Source organism: Homo sapiens, chromosome 12, assembly GCF_000001405.40.
Source record: "Homo sapiens chromosome 12, GRCh38.p14 Primary Assembly".
NCBI classification, from domain to species: domain Eukaryota; kingdom Metazoa; phylum Chordata; class Mammalia; order Primates; family Hominidae; genus Homo; species Homo sapiens.
In genome coordinates this window covers 101,645,704-101,670,607 of record NC_000012.12, presented here as the reverse complement: position 1 = coordinate 101,670,607, position 24,904 = coordinate 101,645,704, and the positions used below count along the sequence as shown (strand labels likewise).

Below are 24,904 nucleotides of genomic sequence, written 5' to 3'. Positions count from 1 at the left end.
ATGGTTTCTATAGATTTCTCTATTTTGACAGCAGGAGATTGCTTAATCATTCTCCAATACTCTTTCATTCTTTATTTACCTCCTCTCCCTCTGAGGAAATCCTGAATCATGATGAACTTAAATGCTAGAGTACCTCTTCCCACTTCCTAAACTAATCCAGCCCTCTAAAGAGAAAAAGAGCGACCCTTGAACTCTTACCTGGAAAGGTATAACCAGATTGACAGCTTCTCCAACTCTGCGGATATAGGTTTGCTTCAGGTGTCTTGGAATGCGAATCTTTGGAGGTTCTGAGAGAGGGTAAAATAGCACAATTTTGCAATCAGTCTGGTGTCTGAAAATAGCCTTACAAAAGCAAAATGGCATGATGCTCACCAGCGTACCCTTGTGGCATATCTCTGCAATAAACTCTGAGATGTGCCACTAACAGACGATATATAGTAACTGGTTCAAAATGTGTGTGTGTGTGTGTGTGTGTGTGTGTGTGGTTTCCACACAGAGATGTTTTAACAGTTTGACTCAGCAAAATTTATCCCTGACATCCTTGGCTTTATTGCAACTTTGTATTTTTATTGTTGTAATAAGCCTAAAGCAACTTTATAGAAAAATACATTTTCTCTTAGGGCCTTATACATACTATGCATACTTTTCATAGTTTCTTTTTTTTTTTCTTTTTTTTTTTCAGAGAGTCTCTCTCTGTCGCCCAGGCTGGAGTGCAGTGGCATTGCTCACTGCAACCTCCGCCTCCTGGGTTCAAGCGATTCTCATGTCTCAGCCTCCCAAGTAGCTGAGACTACAGGCACATGCCACCACGCCTGGCTAATTTTTGTATTTTTAGTAGAGATGGGATTTTGCCATGTTGGCCAGGCTAGTCTCAAACTTGTGACCTCAGGTGATCCACCTGCCTTAGTCTCCCAAAGTGCTGGGATTACCGGCATGAGCCACCGCGTCTGGCCAGTTATTCATAGTTTCTAACAGTGAGTATATTTGCAAGGGAACATTCCACGAAAGATCTATAGGCACCACATTAGCTGGGAGGACTGTCCATTCTTCCTTACCAGAAAAAAACAAAATGTTAGCACCCAGCACTTGCTATTTAGGTGACTCTGTTGGAGTTCGACAGTAACTTTCTCCCTGTGTGACTGTGGTGAAGTACATAATAGGCAACCCTGGCCCACTGTGTATTAATATTCATTAATTAAACATCATGAAGATACTAGAGCATGTCACTGCAAATCCATCAGGAGCAGGGAGTCAAAGGCTCATAGGCTCACAGGGATGAAGCAGTTCTTCTTACTTATTTCCCCAAGTAAAAGTGGAGCTTCTGTGCAAAAAAGTCACCTATTCATCCTCCAACTCAGTTGTACGGTGCTTTTCCTGGGGACAACCATTGTACTGCAGTGTGCAGCCTAAGTACTTCAGACATACTTTGCATTTCATTGTCACACAAGTCTAGAAAAAAAACATACTCAAGAGCCAAGATTTGATGAAAGTTATTATTCTTATTCTTGTTTTGTTTTATTTGAGACAAGGTCTTGCTCTGTCACCCAGGCTGAAGTGCAGTGGCGTGATCTTGGCTCACTGCAGCCTCCGCCTCCTGGGTTCAAGTGATTCTCCCACCTCAGCCTCCTGAGTAGCTGGGACCACAGGCGTGTGCCACCACACCCAGCAAATTTTTGTATTTTTAGTAAAGACGTGGTTTTGCCATGTTCCCCAGGCTGGTCTCAAACTCCTGGGCTTAAGTGATCTGCCCGCCTCAGCCTCCCAAAATACTGGAATTACAGGCATGAGGCATTGTGCTCAGCCAAAATTAATTATTTTTATGCTTCATTAAGAACACTCTAAGGGCCAGGCGTGGTGGCTCACGCCTGTAATCCCAGCACTTTGGGAGGCTGAGGCAGGTGGATCACTTGAGGTCAGGAGTTCGAGACCAGCCTGACCAACATGGTGAAACCCTGTCTCTACTAAAAAATACCAAAAAAATTAGCCAGGCGTAGTGGTGCATGTCTATAATCCCAACTACTTGGGAGGCTGAGGCAGAAGAATTGCTTGAACCCGGGAGGCAGAGGTTGCAGTGGCCAAGATTGTGCCATTGCACTCCAGCCTGGGCAACAAGAGCAAAACTCCATCTCAAAAATAAAAAAAAGAGACTCTAAGGCAAAACTGGCCCTTTTATTTCATCTGTTGAGTGCATGGTGGTGAGGAAGGCAAGGCTGGCTAGTATGGCTCCGTGGCACTGACTTGATTTCATACTAAGGTATCAACAGTTTTACTCACCTTCATTTTTATACTATCAGTGAAGATGTCAAAACACTGAAAGGTACACATAATATTTTCATAATATTATGAAAATAGTTCTGACCCTGCAGATTCATTGGAGGCATATGGTTGTCGTAGGGATTGTTTGCATGGTTGTATGAACATACTCTCTCTCCACTGTAAATAGGCAGCCCAGCCAGAGTTGGCTCCTGGAACCAGGAGAGGTTAACTAACTGGTCCTCAGAGTACCAAGATAAACCTGAAGGTGATCTCCCACATTGCCTGAAGAGAGCTGCTTTATTAAGTTCTAACTCTTAGGAAGCATTAAAGCATTAACAAAATATCAAAGGAGTAACAACAAAATAGGAGGTTTTGAGAAAGAAAGTAGTTTGAAGAAAAAAAAAGTGAACCATGTAAAATGGAGTCTAACTTTTGAAAGCCTTGTCTCCTACCTATGATTTCCTTCACGAGAATGGGCTGAGAATAGTACTTGGGCTCGCTGGCACCAGCTGCATTAACAGCCTTCACACGCACAAAGATCTTTGCATCTGTTGGCAGACCTGTGATGGTGAACTTCGTCTTGTCAATCAGATCTTTGTTTGCAACTATCCAGTCCTCAGCTGAAGTCCGTAAAAGAAAAGGAAAAGAAGGAGGAATGCTGTTTAGTGAAAAAAATCATCTTAACCATTACAGTCAACTCCAAATTAGTATTTTACTCATAATAATACATCATTTAGAGACATTATGACTTTGGTCTGGACTCCGACTACATGGGTGGACATTTTTCATATATTAAATAAAAAACAGCCTAAAATAGCTAACATAAATAACAGGAAAAATAAACTATAAGATTCTGCTGTTTCTGAAAAATCTTTATTCAGCATGAAAGCATCCTGAATAATAGTAACTGTCCACAAGAATTCTGTAGCAGTTTTATTCCAATTTGGTTTTATAATGATTCATGCAATCATGATAGCTAGTCATCTATACACATTAAAGTTCAGAAAAACAGGAAAAGGCTATCTTTATGAATGAGACATTGACCTTTATAGTCATATATATGTTTTTATCTTGGCTGATTTACTATTGTAAGACACTAACATGGGTAGAGGGAACTTGATCATATTTATTCACATTGATGAAGAGAAAAAGCTTATTTCACAAAGAGAAAACAGTTCATGGGCTGATTCCTCATAAGGAGTTGGTAGAATTCTATCCTTGCAACCAAAATCTAATTTTAAAAAGTTTTTGGCAGCTTGTGTATCACATCGAGAGAATTTTAACCCAGCATTCAGGGCTTACAAATGTTTCAGCATCTAAAAGTTAGTATGCATTTTGCCCACAGAAAGAAAGAAGACTTTGATCCCACATTATTAACTCACTGCTCCCTCTCCCCCATCTCTAAGGATGTGTGTGTGTGTATGTGTGTGTGTGTGTGTGTGTGTGTGTGTGTGTGTATGTATGTGATGAGTATTCTTCATGCTTGGTCATTCAATATTCCCAGAAACATTATAATATAGTAAGAAAATTTGAGAGCTTCACGGAATACTTTACCTGGCAGATCATAGGCAGCCTCCCCATTTTCATCAGACTGTTTTGCTGATGTACCTTTGAGAATCCGTCATTAAAATTAATTAAAGACACCCACTTTCACACCAGAATAATATCGTATCAGCAGTCAGCATTCTCTGTTAGTAAAGTATGCAAAGTGTGCAAAGAGATTTGTCCTCAGAGCAGTGACGGAAGAGACCAAACGGTGTTAGGGGGGTTCCTCAGGAGAGCACAGCCTGCTCTGTGCAGACTGTGGCTTCTGACCTGAGGCACCTGCCACAGAGAAGAGGAGAAAAAAGAAAAGAATAGAGAAGAGGAGAAAGGAGGCTGGGACACCTCCAGTGGTGGGAAGAAGAGATAGAGAAGAACAAAGCAAGACCCTGAAGAAAACAGAGGAGCAGGTCCTGGAATCTGCGGGGGAGCAGCGCACAGTGAGACAGTCTATCCTTGTGCCTGTCTCTGCCACCCCAGCAGGGGAGGATTCTCTTGGGTCCCCAGGGAACACGGTGCTCCCACAGTGGGGCTCCCTCATTCAAGACTGGGAGTGCAGGCCCTTGGGATAAGGCCAGCCCTGTTTTACCAGGGTCCAAGTTCTGAATAGAATTGGAGGCTGCCCCAGCAGCTCAGGAGGCAGTTCTGGTTCCCATGACAATGAACTCTGTCAAGAAAACAAATTGAGCCTGCTCAGGGTTCCGCATGGGTGGCTCACAGGGTGGTCTTGGGCATACCCACTGGTTTGGGATGATGACTTTCTCAGTATCAGGAGAGGAGTGGAGGCATTGGGGACTGGACTGGCTGTCCCTTGGAACTTTTGCCTCTCTCTTGTTCTAACCCTAACAGGAGTATCAAGGAGAAGGGACAGGCAACTAGAATATCCTGGCAGCTAGTAAGGCATGTGGAGAATAAAAATTCCTTATGTCTTTGAAAAAGAGATACATCTTTAAACAAATGGTCTGCTTGGGAGCTTCTGTGTTGGTATTTTCATAGTCAAGAGACAGTGGATGAGAAAGTGAAAATAAGAGACTCAGAAAACATGTACAAAAGAGTGAAGAACTAGTAAAAGAGACAATTTCAAGAGAAAACAGGACGAAACAAGACCAGAGGGGGAACAAAAATAGCCCATCTCTTCACATTGGAACCACTTTAATTGGGGAAACACAGACAAAGAAGATGGTGTCCCAGGGGATGAGGAAGGAACATGTAAGTTATTTAACATGTGAGGAGAATTTTTAAGAAAGGAAAGAAAAAACTAGAGTGCAGAAAGAAAACAAAGAAGAGTAAAATGCTGCAGGCATTAAAAAAATAATAACAAAACAAAAACGAGAGAAAGGCAGAGTCCAAAACAACACACGATCTTACAAAACAAAGAATTCTCTTACAGAATAAAACCTGATGTCTCTAAAAGCATTAAACACTATAGAAAATTAGTCTGGAGGACAACAGCCATTAAAAGAGAATGAAGAGTCGGCAGCCACATAAAGAAAATAAGAAAAGACTGCAAGAAGAAAGAGATACACGTTGTGAGAGAACTCCCATAGAAAGCTAATTCCAGAACGTTACTCGGCAAAATATATACATAATAATGACTGTGTACATATACATATGTATATACGGATATACATATGTATCTACACAGACCACACGCAAAATTTTGTAAAATACACTTCATTGTATTTTATCTAAGGTGGGTAACATCAAAATGACAGCCATCTATCATTTTGCTGTATCTTCTTACTTTTTAAACCTATCAGAAAGAAAAGAGTAAAGAATTTGCTCGATTCATACATACACAAAAGGTTTATGCTCAAAGGCCACATCACACATAAGACTGGGATATTCTGCTGGCTGGACAATACAAAAAAACAGAATGGAGTGCTCATGACTTTTTTAAATGGGGGCAGGAGGATGGAAGAGGAATAAACTGAAGTGCTCAAGAATTTACTTGTTGCATTAGTGACACTATCCCCTTCCCTTACTGGGTTAACCCTGGGAAATTTCTGACGTTTCCACTGCTTTTGGTTAGTGGCTTTTTAAATCCTGGAGAAACCAATTATAGGACTCTGTGTGTGGAGTAGGTGCAAGAGGGATTGAGGGGTATCAGGATACTTCATTGTCCCTCTCCTCTTCCTCCCTCCAGAACAGAGGTGAGCATTTCCACAGGTGCCCCAATCCAGGCACCTGGGATTTCTTTTTCAGCAGTTTTCTCTTCATAGGAAGTTTCATCTCCATAGTGAGTTTCCTCCAGGGGAGGTGCATTTGCGTTCACATTCCTGATTTCCCAAATGTGCTTCGTAACCTCCTTCCTTCACTTCGAGGATCTGTGTTAAAGTTTGGTGTCCAAAGAGTTTTCCTGGAGGTGAAGTCTTGGGCCACTGTTTGTGGAATTTGAACAAGTTTCCTGGGAGATTGTTTACCTACCAGCATCTAGAATGGAACCCAAGTCCAGAGCCATTTTCAAATGTCATCCCTTTCTAGTTATGGCAAATAAGAAACCAAGAAACACAACAGGATTTTGGTAAGTTTCACATTCTTTTGGTTTTCAGGTAATTCTGGCCCATATTTTCTTCTGTCATTTTTTCTTTTTCTATTATTTCTATCAGTGATTTTAAAAATTTATGGCCTTGTTTCTCTTCCCCTCCTAAATTAAACTGATTACAGTTTTATATCCCCAACTCCTGAGATAAGTTACTGCTACATATTGAACTTATTTCTTATACACTCGAGGATTTAATGCTGCTTCCTTTAAAACTAAGAGCAGTTCTTAATTCATCTTATTTTTAGATGAAGGCAGGTGATGATTACTAGCCAAATATGTAGTCTCCCTTTATTACCCAAAATAGGTCACTCTTTTGATAGTTAACTTCAGCTCATTATAGGTTTTAGAATTTCCAACTGGCTTCATCATAACTAGACTTTTATATTGCTGTGGTGCAATTCAATTCCACCAGTTTAAGAAGTGGAAGTCCCCAAAGTTTTGTTACAATCTCTTCCTCCCATCTCTTAGTTCAATTATAGTGTCCAATCTGGCAGCCTAGCCAAGATACTTTTGAGATATCAATTTATAAGCACCAAGTACTAAAAAAGGGCTTAGTTTATATACATCTCAGAAGGATGACGTTTGGCTTGATCTTATTTTCGTAGGAAGGTGATGCGTTCTCAAGAAAGAGAGACAAAAGAAAGGGGAGGGACATATCTCACCTATTGATGACAGTATTCATTTTATCTACTGGTTGTACTTACTTCCTTCAAAGCAATACTCTAGCACATAGCCATCTAAACCTGCTGCACCAATGTGGTCTGGGGGGCGCCACCTCATCGTGACAGTCGTGTCAGTGACAGAGTCCACAGTCAGAAGAGTAGGAGGGCTTGTTACAGCTTAAAGATAAAAGAGACAGAAAAGAATAAACTATTTACTACACAGCTATAGTGCAGGAACTGTGATAAAACCAATGGGGATACAAATAAAAATAGACACAAAAGCCCTACATCTTAATGAAATTCAGTTAAGACACCTTGAGCATGGATGTGTGTAAGGCAAAGAGCTGATCAATGTGAGAATTTTGGAAATGCTGTCATGGATTTTTTTCCAAATTGAGAAGCCGGTGTGGGAAGCTGGGAGGCCCAAAGAAGTTGAAGAAGGCAAGGTTTGGGATCTAATGATCTAGAGTAATTTTCCCATTGCTCTCTAATTTCCAAGTGCAAACTTGTATTACATTTTTTTCCATTGAAAAAAATACCTCATTGCCATAAAATAATGGAGATATCTTTTTTTTTTGCCTTCACTGAACTAACTTTTTTGATTTAATAGATAACATTTAAGGTGTGACCATAAAGCAAAGAAACCAGTTTCCAAGTGTAGCCTGTTGAACCGATCTCAATTTGTTTCAGTGATAGTTGTTTACACTAAGCTGGGTTATATTAACAGGTTAATACCTTCAGAAGGGCAAATGGAAAGTACTCACATGTCCATGGACTCAGCAATATGTTTTCAGTGGGGAATGGCAATCAGAGCCACCCACAGTTGGCACTGGAATTATGGTAACGAATTCCAGGGCCTATGTTATGAAGTTATTCAACTTGACCAAACCTACTTTTTAATTTCTTAGACATAAAATTGTACCTAACTGTTTCAAGCTCCTGCCCACCTACAACTCTAAGAAGTGTCCAGGCCTGTTCCAGTTAGGGATCAGAGAGAAAGCAGTCATACTCTGGGGCAATGATTCTGATGACAAAGACTCATCTCTCTTGACTTACCCAAAGGAACAAAAGGCCTGGAGGGCATACTGGGCTTGGAGATGCCAATGGCATTGACTGCAAAGATGCGGACCTCATAGGCCACACCTTCAATCATCTTCTTGGGCTCAAAAGTTGTTTCTTTGCAGAGATCAAAATTCAGCCTCATCCACCTGGAGCTTTGTTTCTTCTTCCTCTCAATAAAATATCCTGCAGGTATGCAAAATGAAAACTAAGGTTTTTCCTTGGTCTCTGAAATTAAACATTGTCAGATAATAGAAGTCCTTAAAATTTTGCATTTTGTCATCAATCTATGTGAAATAGTCATATATGTATGTAAATATTTTTAACCTATCTTATTCCAAGAGAATAGAAATATTAATATAAAATATAGATGAAAATAATGGGACTAAGAAATTAAAATTATACTACAAAGAGAAGAAAAATGGATCACAGTTAAGTCAGCCATAGCAACTTAGTCACTGTAGGTGAACAATATAATCAGAGGCAATGTAGTTGACTCTGAGTCCCAGCAAGGAAGATAAGAAGAGGGAAATGACCAGTTTTGTGAGTCTCATTATTAGCAAAGAGAAAAAATTCTCATGGCATAGGGGAAGCAAATGCTTCTAAGCATTTAAATATTTTTTCTTTCTTTTTTTTTTTTTTTTTTTGAGACAGAGTCTCACTCTGTTGCCCAGGCTGGAGTGCAGTGGTGTGATCTTGGCTCACTGCAACCTCCACGCCCCAGGGCCCAAGTGATCCTCCCACCTCAGCCTCCTGAGTAGCGAGTAGCTGGGACCACAGGTGCGCACCACCATGCCCGGCTAATTTTTGTATTTTTAATAGAGGTGGGGTTTTACCATGTTGGCCAGACTGGTCTCGAATTCCTAGCTTCAAGTGATCCACCCACCTAGGCCTCCCAAAGTGCTGGGATTACAGGTATGAGCCACAATGCTCAGCCTAATTATTTAATTCTAAAATAAATTTCTTCATAGACAAAATCATGTAGAATCAGACGTTCACTGGCTAGGATGGTGGAAGTTGGGCTTATAGTTGCTTCAAAATTAGTGTGTATAAATGTCAAACAAAAAAAGAAACCAGCAATCAGATGATATTCATCAGAGCTATTTAAATCTCGAGTAATTACAGAGCATCTCAACATATATATTTCATTTTGAATGCATAAAGTCACAGTAAAATAGGTTTTCTTCTAAATGCAATACTTTAAAATGTGCTCTGTACTAAGATGCGTAAAGAGGACACAACTGTACTGGCAGTTACACAGACTAACCAACATGCAGTTACCTAGGATTGGAGAGCCTCCGTCGTAGGCAGGAGGCTCCCAGTTCATGATACACCAGTCATCTCCCACCTCTGTCACAGTCGGTGCCACTGGAGGATCAGGGAAGTCTGTGGCAGACAAAAAATAGGATAAAGTAAAATAAGGAAGAGGGAGTAGAAAAAAAAAGTTAATAGGAAAATATGTTTCTTGGTGATAATCATTGAAACTGTTATTTCTGAGTACTTTCCCATGTTTACTGAATTATGCTTATGATATGGTTTGGCTGTGTCCCCATCCAAATCTCATCTTGAACTGTAGCTCCCATAATTCCCACATGTTGTGGGAGGGACCTGGTGGGAGAGAATTGAATCACAGGGGCAGTTTCCCACATACTGTTCTCGTGGTAGTGAGTAAGTCTCAAGGGATCTGATGGTTTTGTAAGGGGAAACCCCTCTGGCTTGGTTCTCATTCTCTCTCTCTTGTCTGCTGCCATGGAAGACATGGCTTTCACCTTCCACCATGATTGTGAGGCCTCCCCAGCTACAAGGAACTGTGAGTCCATTAAACCTCTTTTTCTTTATAAATTACCCAGTCTCTAGTAGGCCTTTATCAGCAACGTGAAAACAGACTCATACAAGTTAGTAATTAATTTGGGCAAAAATTTGTGCTCAATATGGGATAAGGGAAGATGAGCCCACCCCTTGCCCGAAATAAAAATAATGATGTCTCCAAATCCCTTAAACCCGTGTCCCAACATTACAGAATAAGCCCCATATGAAACCCAAGACTCTCATTCCTTACCTTGAAAATGTTAACCAAGAAATTATTGTCTAAATGTTGAATATGGTTGTTGTGGTTGTTGTTTTTAACTACAAAGTGAACTTCCGCAGAACTGAATCAAAGAGTTTTACAAGACTCAAGATGTTGGCTGGTAGAAATCCAAGTCAAAAATGGCGAGTCACAATATCTTGTAAGTATAGTTCAGTGTCTGATAAAAATGACCTCAGTTTTTGGTCAATTTGAAATATGTCATTTAAGGAGAAACTAAAGTAAGAAGAGGAGAGCATCAGACCTTGGAACAGTAGTAATCTGCTAGACTCATTTTATTCAGCTTTGGGCTTAGGAAAAATGCACTTCGATAGTTGTCTAAGGACAAGGCAGATCTAATCCCTCTGTAATGATTGTGATGTGGGAAGTTATTTAGCAATTGTGTTTCAGTGATGTTTAAAGGGCACCAAAAGGGAATATGACTTTGGAGAGCTAATGACCAGCAACCCCAAATGGCTGACCTTAGCTCTTCTTTCTCCAATGATAAGTCCTCTAGGCAAGAAAAAAAAAGAAGATAAGGGAAAGACAAAGGAAGGAAATGGAAGGAAAGGACAAAGAAGGAAAGTCTACTCTGAATCTTGACATGTCAGCTTGATTCTAGAAGTGCGTTTACCTGGAGGACTTACCCACAACTTTAACCTTGATGCTTGCATGTGCCTCTCCAGCTTCGTTTTTCAGATTGATGTGGTAAACACCAGAGTCATCTCTTTCAGCTATATCAATGACCAGAGTGCTGCTATCAGGGTAAGATTCTGTTCTTATCCGGCCACTGCCTTCCATAATAGCCTAAGAAGTGGAGAAACAAAATGTGGCATGATTTACACAATAAACAGGGCTACTTCAGAGTCTCCTATAAATTGAGCAATTCAGCAGACTATAGAGTGTATAGTGTATAGATTATATAGTGTATTTGGTGGACTATATAGTGTAACTATATAGTGTTCATGCCTATTATATGTTTTCTCAGTTTAATTCTCCCCCAACTCTAATGACAAGGTATTATTATACCATCTTACACATAAAGAAACTGAGACTCATCTTGCTCAAGGTCACACAGGTAGGAAGTAGCAGAAATGGGATTTGATCCCAAAGCCCACTAGCCACCAACTTTCCCAAGAGAAAATTGGAGGACTAAAAATACAAGTGCAGACATGTCATTCTAGGAGAGGAATCCCTGTGTATGAAATTAGAAACCCTCAAACTCCTATCAGAAACTAAATAATGATTTGTTCATTTTCTTAGATGTTTGGAAAATTTTAAAATACCGAAAAGGATTGAAGAAGGCTGCAAGGCCAATTTTCCATTTTCTTTTTCTAGTAAAAACATAAAAGAATGCACATCTAATTCCCAAAGTAAAGACAGAGCGAGGTTGAGCCTCCTATTATATTTTCTTTCTTTTATTTTCTTCTTCTTTTTTTTCACTTTTTTTCTTCTTTCTTAAACCTGAAATTTAAAGCAGGATTACATTTTTCTGATTCCCAGGTTGTATCTTCTATAAGACAATCAATAGCCAATATACAAAGAGGAAAAACAGAGAAGGTCAAAGTAATTTAGAAACTGGTTATTTGCCACTAAATACTAGGTAAACTCTCTACTCTTTTGTGTCTGTATCAGGACTCATAAGTCTTCAATAACCTGAGATTGTGATCACAGTAAGAATACCTGAAATAATTCTCTAATTCTTCCATTTTGTAATAGAACAAAATTTCCTCATATCAGCCAAATTCTAATGTAAGATTTTAATAGATGTTCTCTTTTGTTTTTATTTATTTTTTATTTTTCTCCCTCCCAAAGCTAATCCATCTCCTTTGTATCAATTCTTTTAGATTTTCTACACAACCATGTCATCTGTGAACAAAGACCATTTTATTTCTTCTTTCCCAATTTGTATACCCTTTTTTTCTTTTATTGCATTAGCTAAGCCTTCCAGTAAAATGTTAAAAAGCAGTGGTGACAGGAGGATACTCTTGCATTATTTCTGATCTTGGTAGGAAAGCGTCAAGTTTCTCACTGTTAAGTATAACTTTAGCTGTTGGGTTTTTCTTTTTACGGTAGATTTTTTTTTTTTTATCAGATTGAATACATTTCCCTCTATTTCTATTTTGCTGAGAGTTTTCTTCATGCATTTTGTCAAAGATTCTTTCTGCATCGGTTGATATAATCATGTTACTTTTCTCCTTTAGCCTGTTGATGTAGTGGATTACATTAATTGATTTTCAAATTTTGAGCCAGCATTGCATACCTAGAGTGAGTTTCACTTGGTCTTGGTGTATAATTCTTTTCATACATTGTTGGGTTTGATTTGCTCTTTTTTTTTTTTTTTTTTTGAGACGGAGTCTCGCTCTGTCGCCCAGGCTGGAGTGTGTTGGCGCGATCTCGGCTCACTGCAAGCTCCGCCTCCCGGGTTCACGCCATTCTCCTGCCTCAGCCTCCCGACTAGCTGGGACTACAGGCGCAGCCACCACGCCCGGCTAATTTTTTTTGTATTTTTAGTAGAGACGGGGTTTCACCGTATTAGCCAGGATGGTCTCGATCTCCTGACCTCGTGGCTAATGTTTCATTAGAATTTTTGCATCTACATTTATGAGAGATATTGGTCTGAAATTTTCTGGTTTTGATATTAGGATAAAACTGACCTCATAGATTGAATTAGGAAGCATTCTGAAAGAGATTAAGGCACAATTTCTTTCTTAAATGTTTGGTAGAATTTACCAACAAACCCATTGGGGCCTGTTGCTTTCTGTTTTGTAAGGTTATTAATTATTGATTCAATTTGTTTAATAGAGATAATCCTTTTCTGATTGCCTATTTCTTCTTGTGTGAGTTTTAGAAGATTGTATCTTTCAAGGAGTTGGTCCATTTCAACTAGGTTGTGAAATTTATGGGCATAGAGTTGTTCATAATATTCCTTAACTATCCTTTTAATGTCCATGGGATTTGTAGTAATGTCCCTCTTTCATTTCTGTTAATTAGCCTTGACTCTTCTTATCCTACTTAGCCCGGCTAGAGGGTTATACGTTTTATTGATATTTACAAAGAACCAGCTTTTGTTAATTTCTCTATTAATTTCCAGTTTTCAATTTCATTTATTTCTGCACTAATTTGTATCATGTCTTTTATCTGCTTACTTTGAATTTAATTTACTCTTCTTTCTCTTGTTTTCTAACACGTAAACTTTGATTACTGGTTTTAGGTCTTTCTTATTTTTAAATATATGCAATCATTGCCATTAATTTCCCTTTAAGCACTGCTTTTGCTGCAACTTAAACATTTTGATATGTTGTATTTTCATTTAATTCAATATATTTTAAATTTTCTTTTAAGATTTCATCTTTGAAGTGTGTTGTTTAATCTTCAGGAATTTGAGGGATTTTCAGCTATTTTTCTGTTATGTATTGATTTTTAGTTTCACTTCTGTAATTTATTTATTTTTAGTTTAATTCCATTGTCCCTGAGAGCAGATATTATATGACTTCTATTTTTAAAAATTTGTTAAGGTGTTTTTATGGCCTAGAATGTGTTCTATTTTGGTGAATATGCTATGTGTGCTTGAAAAGAATGTGTAATCTGCTGCTATTGGATGAAGTAATCTATAGATGTTATTTATATACAATTGATTGATAGTGCTGTTGAGTTCAGCTGTGTCCTTACTGATTTTCTGTCTGCTGAATCTGCCCATTTCTGATAGAGGGATGTCAAAATCTCCAACTATAATAGTGAATGCATCTATTTTTCATTGCCGTTCTATCAGTTTTTGTCTCATATATTTTGAGGCTCTGTTGTTAGGTGTATACATGTTAAGGATTATTAGGCTTTCTTGGAGTATTGACCCATTCATCATTATGTAACGCTCATTTCTATTCCAGATAAATTTCTTCGCTTTGTAGTCTGCATTGTCTGAAGCTAATATGGTTACTCATACTTTCTTTTGTTTAGTCTTAGCACAGCATGTCTCTCTCTCTCCCTATACTTTAATGGATGCAACTTTATATTTAAACTGGGTTTCTTATAGTCAACATATCTTTGGGTCATGTTTTTGCTCTACTCTGACAATTTTGGGCTTCTAATTTGTATATTTGGACCATTGACATTTAAAGTAAATATTGGTATAGCTCGATCAATATCTGTCATATTTGTTATTATTTTCTATTGGTTGCCCTTCTTCTTTGTTCCTATTATTGTCTTCTACATTTTTTTCTGCCTTTTGTGGTTTTAATTAAGCATTCTATGTGATTTCATTTTCTCTCCTTTATTAGCATATTAATTTTACTTCCTCTTTTTTAAACTTTTTAAAGTGGTTTCCCTAGTTTACAATATATATTTACAATTAACCCAACTCCACTTTCAAACAACACTACAGTGGTTCACAAGTAGTGCATGTACTTTAAAATAATGAAATGTCCCTAATTCCTTTCTCCCATTTTTTGTATTATTGCTGTCATTCATTTCACTTATATATAAAATACATAAATATAACTATATAAGCATACCTAATTGAATACATTGTTGCTTTTATCATTTTGAACAAAGTATTATTTGTTAGATCAACTGAGAATAGGAAAAAATGAAAAAGTTTATTTTACCTTCACTTATTCTTTATTTTATACTCTTTCTTTCTTTATGTAGATCTGAGTTTCTGACCTATATTATTTTCCTTTTTCTGAAGAACAACTTTTAATATTTTTTTGCAAGACAGATCCATTGGCAACAAATTCCCTAAAGTTTTGTTTGTCTGAGAAAGTCTTTATTTCTCCTTCACTTTTGAAAGATAATTTCAGAGGGTACAGAATTCTAGGTTGGTGGGTTTTCACCCTGAACACTTTCAATGTGTCACTCCACTCTCACATTTTGGCAGTTTGCCCTGTATCCTCACTTCTCTGACATATGTAAGAGGAGTTGCTAGTTTTTCCGTTTGTCCAGCTTTTTACTTGTTAGGATAGAGTGGCAACTTCTAAGCTGATTACATGCCCGAATGAAAATTTGAAGTCTAACTGATTCTTTAAATTTTTTTGGACTTTTTCTCTTGTGTTTCATTTTGGATCATTTCTATTGCTATGTCTTCAAATTTGCCTTCAATGTCTAATTAGCTATTAATTCCATCTACATATTTTTTATCTGAGACATTTTATTGCTTTCATCTGTAGGTGATTAGATTTGGATCTTTTTATATTTTCCATTTCAGTTCACTTTTTTCACTTAACTTTCTCTTAATTTTTATTTTATTTTATTAAATTTCTCTTAAATTTAATTTAAATGGAGAGCTTAACATTTCTCCACCTAACTTTTTGAACATATGGAATACACTTAAAATAACTATTTTCATATGCTCGACTGCTATTCTAATTTACATGTGAGATCTGAATTGGCTGTAACTGACTTTTCTCCTCATTTTGAGCTGTGTTTTCCTGCTTATTTCTCTACCATAATGTTTGACTGGATGGCAGGATATTGCTAATTTTGTCATGTTGGGTGCTTGATATTTTTGTATTCCTATATAAATCTTGAGCTTTGTTTTGAAATGCAATTAAATTATTTGGAAATTGATTGAATCTTTTAGACTTGTTTTTATGACTTATTAGGTGGGTCCATGACAGTGCTCAGTCTAGGGTTAATTATTCCTGCAACCAAGGCAAGGCTTTCCTGAGTACTCTACTCAATGCACTGTGAATGATGAGGTTTTCATGTCTAGCTAGGGGGAACAGGCACTACTATTGGCCTTGTGTGAGTGCCAGTCCACTTCTCTTTAATCCTTTCATATGTTCCTTTCTTGAATCTTGGGTAGTTTCCTCATAAATGTGCACTGATCTTTGCTGAATACTTGAGCGTGTTCCTCTGCAGAGCTCCAGGGGGACTCTCTGTGCAGCTCTCTCCTCCAGTATGTATAGTATGTATCCTATGAACTCTAGCTGCCTTGGTCTCCTTGTACAATGGGAGTCCTAAACTTAGGGAGTCCACTGGGTTCTGTCCAGGTTTTTCTTCCTTGTGCCACTGCCTGGATACTCTTTTATGGCAATAAGCTTGAGGCAATTATAGGGCTTATTTCATTTGTTTATCATATTTCATAGTCATTGTCTTTCACGATCTGATGTCCAATGTCTTGAAACCCATTGTTCACATATTTTGTCTATTTTGGGGGTTATTTCAAGTGAGTAGGTAAATCTGGTTCCTGTTATTCAATTCTGGTTGAAAGTAGAAGTCTCATTCTGCTTTTTATTATTTAATTTTATTTTTAACATTAAAAAAATTTGTTTTGAGATAGAGTCTCACTCTGTCACCCAGCTGGAGTGCAGTGGCGTGATCTCGGCTCACTGCAACCTCTGCCTCCCGGGTTCCAGCAATTCTTGTGCCTCAGCCTCCTGAGTAGCTGGAATTAGAGGCATGCTGCCACCATATTTGGCTAATTTTTTTGTATTTTTAGTAGAGATGGGGTTTCTCCATGCAGGCTCAGGCTGGTCTGGAACTCCTGGCTTCAGGTGTTCTGCCTGCCCCAGCTCCCAAAGTGCTGGGATTACAGGCATGAGCCACCATGCCCAGCCTCATGTCTTCTTTTTAAATGTAATTTTTCTTTTTTTGCTTTTATTTTTGTAGAAAGCCACGGAGTCACACTTGAGCTGGCACTACTCTACCATTTCACCCTCACTTGCATTTCTCCCAATCATTCACTTTGCCCCAGCCATGCTGGCTTTCCTTCTGTTCCTCCAACACATCAGGCTTATTCTCTCCCCTTGGCCTTTGCACTTGTAATTGCCTCCGTATGGAAATGTCTTCCGTTTGATCTTCACATAATGGGTTCCTTGTTCTTCACAGAGGCTGCCATTGACTATGCAGTTACTTGCTATTGTATCATTCTCTTTTATTATCTTCTTGTACTTATTACTATCCAAAGTGACTTTGTTCATTTATTTATTTAATAATTCATTTTCTTTTTCATCCCCCCAATTTCATTAGAATAAAAATGAGGCTTTTTCACTGTGCATCAAAACATGCTTTGCTACATAATAGTCAGAAATATGAGAAGTAAATTAATGATGATCAGATTTGCCTGAAAATCAGTCATCTTTCTTTTTCAAAGGAATTACATCTTTACTGTACTGCTGTACATTTATTTGTTTTCTACCTTCATCTGAATAATGGAGGGCAAGGGGTGGGGTAGGCAGTGTGTCTGCATATGTGTGTGTGCATGTGAGTGTGTGCAAGCATAAAACAAACCTTATCTCCCCGGCTCCACATGGCTTTAGGAGGTGGTTCTCCGCTGATGGGGATCTCAAGACGAAGCTTGTTTCCTGCAATCACTGTCACTGTGTTGTCAGCATCAAGACCATCCAGGATGATCTTAGGAGGATCTAGAATATTAAGCATAGTCTTTGTTATCAGACAGTCATTTCTGTGTAAATATCTGCACTAATGTTTGGCTAGTATGATGGTAGTAACCAATATTTTATCTAATCAAAAAGAATATAAGAGGAGTCAAGATAGTTGGTGCCTGGCACCTTGCAAAACCATTTTATTGTAAGGTGTTGGTATAAGTCACCAATCTTTCTGATTGGTGATTAATACCAATTGATGTATTTTTCCTTAAATGTCACTTAGTTTTGAATATATTATAATTCCATGGTAAGCAAAAGCAAACAAAAAAGAACACAACTATGCAATGAATTATTTTATCTACTCACCAATAACATGAACTTTGGCAGGCAGAGTAACATTGTAGGCATCAGGTGCAAATACATAATCACCTTCATCTTCAGTGAGGGCATTGGCTATCACTAACTTGTGGATCCTAAGGAAACAAGGAAAATGTATTTCTAAGACTCCAAAGATCTAGTTTATATATGACCCAAGCTGAAAAGACACTTGACCTTTATCTGATTAACTTCTTTAGTGCAGGAAAGAGAGGGAGAGAGAGAGAGAAAGAGAGAGAGAGAGAGAGAGGATGAGAAGCCTTAATTATCCTACTTATTGATTCAAATTAAATCTTTATTTTGGACTATATGGAATTATCTCCACAAATAGAATCTGCTTATTGTATATGCAGAGTCTATTATTCTTTTTTTTCATCTCATAGCTTTAAAAAGGCTAAAATAGAACATATCAATAATGCTATACTTTAAGATTCAAGAGATGCCAAGAATAATCTTGATTTTGGCTTTACATCCCAAACCCTAAGAACAATAGCTCTTAACTTTATTGGGGTCACAAACTAGTGAATATCTGATGGACACTATGAATCCTTTCTGTGTAAACAGTATGTATTTTTGTACACATAGAATTTTCTCACAATTTCACAGGAGTTATGGGGCTTCCTAAAGTTCATTTATGATACCCTAAAAGCCCATGAATTCAAAGTTAAACTCTTGCCTTAGATCTTTGCCAGATTCTAGGATATTATGTCCCCTACGCAAATAAAGATTTGTGGGAAGGCATTGTGACACTTATTGGTTAGAGACGGTTAATCCATTTGATCAGGTCCTCAATTAGAATTCAGTATTTTTCCTCTAACTTCATGTTTATTATTTATTTTAGAGACAAGGTCTCTCATTCTGTTTCCCAGGCTGAAATGCAGTGGTGTGATCTCAGCTCACTTCAACCTCCCCCTACTGGGTTCAAGCCATCCTCCCACCTCCCAAGTAGTTGGGATTACAGGTGCATGCCACCACGCCTGGCTAATTTTTGTGTTTTTTGTAGAGATGAGGTTTTGCCATGTAGCCCAGGAGCTCTTGAACTCCTGAGCTCAATTGATCCGTCTGCCTTGGCGTCCCAAAGTGTTGGGATTACAGGCATGAGCCATGGTGCCTGGCCTCTAACTTCATGTTTAAATGGAAAAAGAGTCAATGGATTTTGAATAGACAAAGTACCATAGTGTGAGGTACAGATACAGGATTATGAGTAGGACATGCTATACAACAGAGAAATCACACCTTCTTGCTAGTTGGAAGCGAAGAATCAGGAATAGATGATCTCCCTATGGCTACCCTTCAAATATCCTCACCAAATATGTAATTTAGAAAATGGAGAAAGTAGAAATGGGACCAAACCTCACTTGCGGGTCACCTGGCTCGCTTACCTTCCCTTGTGAACCACCTTTAGACGGTCACTCTCCTGAACAGGTAGGCCATTTTTAGTCCATTTTCCTGGTATGTTTTCAGAGATTTCACACTTCAGGCAGATTTCTTTTCCAAGATTTACAGTCTGATCAGTCAGAGGTGTCAAAATCTTCAGAGGTTTCACTGTAGAAATGATAGACCATCACAAATGCCAAGCCCAAACTCCCAACAGGCCAAGATGGTGGCATTTCACAATGGTATAGTGAGCTCTACTACAATGTTTGTTTTGAAAGTGAGAAGCTGTACCAATGCAATTAATATATTAGAGGATAATTTCACATTTGATTCTGTACAATTTCATTCCTTAGAAAAACTAGGTGAATGCAGAAAATTGCATCCAGCTGAAATGACCCAGCAAGGAATGCACAAAATCTGCAGACTCACACCTCAAACATCTATCAGCTACCTCAGTTCATCCATGTGATATAAGCCACACCCATTTACATCTGAGGTCACAACTACTCATCAGATTTTGAATAATCCTCTTTCTACTGCTTCACAACAGTTCACAAGCCACAACACTTCCAGCATTAATTCTGTAAGCAAATCTCAGGTCTTTTTCAACATTAAGTGCCATATTTATTATATTTATTAACCATTTAGCATGTGTAAAACTGTGCTACTACTTTTTACTGGGTTCTTATATTTTAAAAAATATGTCGCTGACTGATGTGGTTTGGCTGTGCCCTCACCTAAATCTCATCTTGAATTGTAGTTCCTATAATCCTCACATGTCATGGGAGGGACGTGGTGGGAGGTAATTGAATCATGGGGGCGGTTACCCCCCTGCTGCTGTTCTCATGATAGTGACTGAGTTCTCATGAGATCTGACAGTTTTATAAGGGACTTTTGCCATTTTGCTTGGTACTTCTCCTTGCTGCCACCATGTGAAGAAGGACATATTTGCTTTCCCTTCTGCCATGATTGTAAGTTTCCTGAGGTCTCCCCAGCCATGCGGAACTGTGAGTCAACTGAAGCTTTTTCCTTTATAGATTACCCAGTCTTGGGTATGTCTTTATTAGCAGCATGAGAACGGACTAATAAACCAGCAAAATTCTTGAGTGTCATACCCATAATCCCATTTCCCCTACAAACCCTATGGTTTTTACTGCATGACTTTGCATAGCATAATTATTTTTAGAAATGCACATGTTACATCATAGCAGAATGGATTATAATTGCTTTAAATGGATACAAATATCAGATAAGGATCTGTCTATGGCTGAAAGACTTCTTGATGTTAAACTAAAATGGCCACAGATCCATAAAGCATAAGGAATGTATTGGGATTGATCCTGAATAATTCAATGATTATATGAACTGCAACTGGACTAAGCAATAAATGTGGAAGTAAGATTTCTGCTCTTTTTGTGACATCATCTTGAGATATTTGCTGTTTTAATTTTTATGGCAAATTGGGAGAGATTCTGCCATTGCTAACTGACTAGAAGTAGAGGGCATTGAGGGAAGTACATTAATTCTCTCATGCCTCTGAAGCCTACTAGCAAATTAGCTCTTACAATCTTCTCAATTGAGCCCTTTTGGTTTGAATTACTTTCTTCTCATGCCAAATGTAATTGCAGAGTGTTGAATGGTTATTTGATGAATAGCTAGCTAACATTATCAGGATATGACATCGTATCTAAGTATTTATCCCCTATTTTTACGGTCTTGGAATTATAACTCTTCTGGCAGGTGATTTTTATACTTCCTTCCTAATATTGGCGCTCTACTATTAAATTGAGTCGTGGTTCCTTCCTTAAATATCCTGATTGATCTGACATAGACACTTAGCTGGAATGAAATCCATTTTACATACTTAAAAATCATCGCAAATAGAAATCAAATAGAAACTTTTCTGAAACCGAATTAACACAACCATCATTAATAAGCCCACTGAGAAGACATCTAAAGAAGTCTCACTTACAGTCAACACTAAGTTTAGCAGATGATTGTCCTCCTGTTGTCATTACTGAATATTCTGCAGCATCAGCCTTTGTTGCTCCCTCTATGATCAAGATGTGTTTTTTACCCTCAACTCTAATTCGGTATCTTGATTTTGGACCAGGGATAATCTCTTCACCATTCTTAAACCTGAATTAAGATAAAATATTAAAAAGGTTTGTAAAAGATCCTTCAGGAAAAATACCTTGTCCATCTTGCTTATTGCAATATCCTGAAGAATTTCTGGAGGATATGAGACACACAAGAACTATTTGTTGAATTAAAAAATGTACGAATCAATCTCTGTATCCATCAGTAGATTCATAATGTAACAAATATTGTCTACAAAATTGTGTTAAAAGAACACGAGCCACCTGCTCGCACTCAAGATGAATCAGGTGCAACTGCTAAGAGTGGATATTACCCCCATGTAGGCTCTTGAAGCACATTAGTAAGAATATCATTTAATGCATTTTAAAGATAACTATGATTCTCTATTAGAATGAACAATCTACACTGTACCAATTACTACAAATCCTGCTGTGTAATTTACTGTACCTTTCAACATAACATTTCATTTTAAGATTTAAAATTTCTAGTTTTTAATTTTAAGATTACTCACAAGGAACCTGAGAAAACATTCCCCACCTGAGCAAAACAAATAAACTCTTATTTCTAAAAGCAATTGGTGATTCTCAGTCTAAATTTTTTTCCCCTGAGGTACTATGAAAATAAAGTGACTAGGGGTTACATGAAAAACACATGTAAATATGTACTTAAAAATCATTGCAAATAGAAATCAAATAGAAACTTTTCTAAAACCGAATTAACACAACTATCATTAGTAAGCCCACTTAGAAGACATCTAAAGAAGTCTTACTAAACTTACTAAACACTAAATATGTTTTTTCATGTAAGTTGCCAATATGGCATAGTGAGAGGAAGCCTGCTATAAAGGTTAAGAGCATCCATAGGCTTTGGGGTCAAATAGACTTGGGTAAACTTGAGTCATCCACTTAGTATTAAGTACCCACTTCCCTACGTGCTTACCCACATAGATCTCTGGTTCTTTTTTCAGTCTCATGAGTGGAAAAACCCCAGTATATTAGTATACTTTTATTTATCATCTCTACTAACACAAATGAGGTGGAGATTGTTTTCAAAGGTTTAAAAGCTATTTGTACTTCCTGTTCTATCAACTATGAAGGTCCAATTTTTTTGTCTATTAAACATGGACAGACTTCATTAAGGCTATTTACCATTTTACATTGGCATCATCTTCAGACACCTCACATTCTAATTCCACTCTCTCCCCACAATAAGCAGTTGTATCTTCCAGCTGTTTGGTCACCATAATTGGAGGCTCTAGTATACAAAAAGGGGAAATCAGAATCATTAAATATCCAAAGCCTATCCCATGAGCCCTGATTTCTTCACAGATGAAAAACCAACAGTGAGAAAGCAACATCTATGGTTGACATGGTGATAACAGTAAGTGAGGTTTTTGTTTTTGTTCTTGTTTTGAGACAGAGTCTCACTCTGCTGTCCAGGCTGAGGTGTAGTGGCGTGATCTTGGCTTAATGTAACCTCCACCCCCTAGGTTCAAGCAATTCTCCTGCCTCAGCCTCCTGAGTAGCTGGGATTACAGGTGCATGCCACTACACCCAACTAATTTTTGCATTTGCAGTAGAGACGAGATTTTACCACATTGGCCAGGCTGGTCTTGAACTCCTGATCTCAAGTGATCACGTGCCTTGGCCTCCCAAAGTGCTGGTATTATAGACATGAGCCACTGTGGCTGTCTGTGAGTTTTGTTTTGTTTTGTTTTGTTTTCTATGTCTGTTCTTGGCAAAATAAATAGCAGGCAACCCTGGGTAAATTCTCCCAATTTTTTCACAGTTCTCCAAGTCAAATCAATTATTGTTCTCAAGAACAAACAAAACATATATCAAATATTATTCTTTTAGCAAAGAAGATACTAAATGCTAGACATTTCTGATGAAGGAGAATATATAAAACTCAAATCTTTGATCCTAGTTCCAGATGGATGACAGAGATCTCAGGGTTGTCTGTCATCAGAAGCCCTCATAAAGAAAATAAGGAAGACATGGCTGTATTCACACCCTCCAGCTCTTTTCACAATGTCTTAGTAAATGATAATTTTCAGTGTGCTTGGTACCAACCACTTATTAATGAAGCTGGTTTCAAGAGAAACCTATTTGTGATCAATTGAGTGTGTGAAACAAGGATTATCCAGTAAAATCTGTTGGGTTTCAAAGCTATAACTAGAATAATTATTTTTGCAAGATAGTGCTTGGCTTGAGTCAAAACATGAGGCATTTGTACTCAACAGGTTCTCTTTCTCCCCTCTGCTGTTCTAGTCTTCAACAAACCAGAAGACTCATTAGGATCCATAATAGCTGCCAGTGTAGAGGAGCCTCAGTTACTTTCACTTTGATCATTATCCCTGGGAGAAGAAGCCAACAGCTCCTGGTGACCACAATAAGAGATTTCATTTTTACCTCTTACGAAGAGCTCAGTGGAACATTTCTCATCACCGGCTGTCACATAATACTCTGAATCATCTGTCATCTGACAGTTATTGATAAACAGGATTCTCTGGCATCCTTTGTGTTCAAAGATGTATCTGTTTTGAATAGGATGAAAATAAACAGAGTCTGTGAATGTGATTTTATTCTTTTCTTTATTGCCAGCAAATTTGGCTTATAATTTGGTAGTGTTTGAAAGTCAAGGATCTGTTGTTTTTTTTTGAGACAGGGTCTTGCTCTGTTGCACAGGCAGGAGTGCAGTGGTGCAAACATAGCTAATTGGAGCCTCGACCTCCTGGGCTCAAGTGATCCTCCTGCCTCAGCCTCCCGTGTGGCCGGGACCACAGGTGTGGGGCATCAGGCCCAGCTAATTTATTTTTTGTAAGACTGAGTCTCACCATCTTGCCCAGGTTTGTCTCAGACTCCTCGGTTCAAGCGTTCCTGCCTCAGCCTCCCAAAGTGTTGGGATTACAGGCGTGAGCCATCGTGCCCAGCAGGGATATAATTTTGATCTGCTCTTTAGGTATCATATCTTACACAGTTTAACGTCAAACCAAAAAAAAAAACCAATTTTTATCTTTATAATACTTAATGTATAAGCATATTTATATATACTATTTAATTTCCATTATAATTTTCTTTTACATAAGGTTTTTATTTCAAATAAAAATCAGTACTCACATATTTGCTATTTAATTTTTTTAACCCACTGTTGGAAGATAGAGTTGGCTGAGGGTGTCAGATTTTTAACTCTGTACATTCTTTAACTAACCAATTCATGTACTTTATAGGTGGGTAGAGACTTGATCTTATCCATTGATGTATGAATAAGATCTATTCATTACCTATCCCAGTGGTATAGTAGATTTCCTTGGGTGAATAAATGATTATACAATTTAAGAAATAATGTGATATAACCACAAACACACGCAGCAGTTCTATAGAATGTGATGTTCTCTTAAATGAGCTCAAGAACTGGTGCTATCATACAGTTACATGTACTAAGAAAGAATGTGAGTATTTAGAAACGAAAAACTAGAAGCCAAGAAGATTGTAAAATATAATTATCTGTGATCTGTATTATGGAGGAGCACATGATGGGATTAAAATAGACTAAAAACACTGTTTTGGGAATTTCTCAGATTGAAGCCTTCAAG

General features: G+C 37.9%; 1 protein-coding gene and 2 long non-coding RNA genes across 34 annotated transcripts in view; 2 read left to right on the top strand and 1 right to left on the bottom strand.

The window, feature by feature from the left end:
- Window positions 1-24,904, bottom strand: part of MYBPC1 (myosin binding protein C1) — a 100,871-nt gene that overhangs the window by 25,234 nt on the left and 50,733 nt on the right. For 19 of the 31 annotated variants that reach the window (NM_002465.4, XM_017019318.3, XM_005268876.5 and 16 more), the window contains 12 exons: window positions 23,721-23,845; window positions 22,458-22,563; window positions 21,182-21,348; window positions 19,215-19,377; window positions 17,824-17,930; window positions 17,360-17,493; window positions 10,777-10,936; window positions 9,346-9,450; window positions 8,062-8,250; window positions 7,048-7,182; window positions 2,709-2,876; window positions 199-287 (listed from right to left, as the gene is read on the bottom strand). In NM_002465.4, coding sequence (NP_002456.2) covers window positions 199-287; window positions 2,709-2,876; window positions 7,048-7,182; window positions 8,062-8,250; window positions 9,346-9,450; window positions 10,777-10,936; window positions 17,360-17,493; window positions 17,824-17,930; window positions 19,215-19,377; window positions 21,182-21,348; window positions 22,458-22,563; window positions 23,721-23,845 — 1,648 coding nt within the window. Of the gene's footprint in view, window positions 1-198; window positions 288-2,708; window positions 2,877-3,810; window positions 3,865-7,047; window positions 7,183-8,061; window positions 8,251-9,345; window positions 9,451-10,776; window positions 10,937-17,359; window positions 17,494-17,823; window positions 17,931-19,214; window positions 19,378-21,181; window positions 21,349-22,457; window positions 22,564-23,720; window positions 23,846-24,904 lie in introns of all 31 variants that reach the window. The other 12 variants (XM_017019316.2, XM_006719406.5, XM_006719410.5 and 9 more) reach the window with 1 other exon arrangement.
- Window positions 6,239-10,894, top strand: LOC124902996 (uncharacterized). Of its 2 annotated transcripts, none has more exons than XR_007063422.1 (3): window positions 6,239-6,322; window positions 10,213-10,292; window positions 10,639-10,894. It is a non-coding gene; the product is annotated as an uncharacterized LOC124902996 (long non-coding RNA). The 2 variants fall into 2 exon arrangements; XR_007063423.1 differs by having other exon boundaries at window positions 10,200-10,292; window positions 10,639-10,788.
- Window positions 19,737-23,888, top strand: LOC105369937 (uncharacterized). The gene is made up of 2 exons (NR_188371.1): window positions 19,737-19,792; window positions 23,580-23,888. It is a non-coding gene; the product is annotated as an uncharacterized LOC105369937 (long non-coding RNA).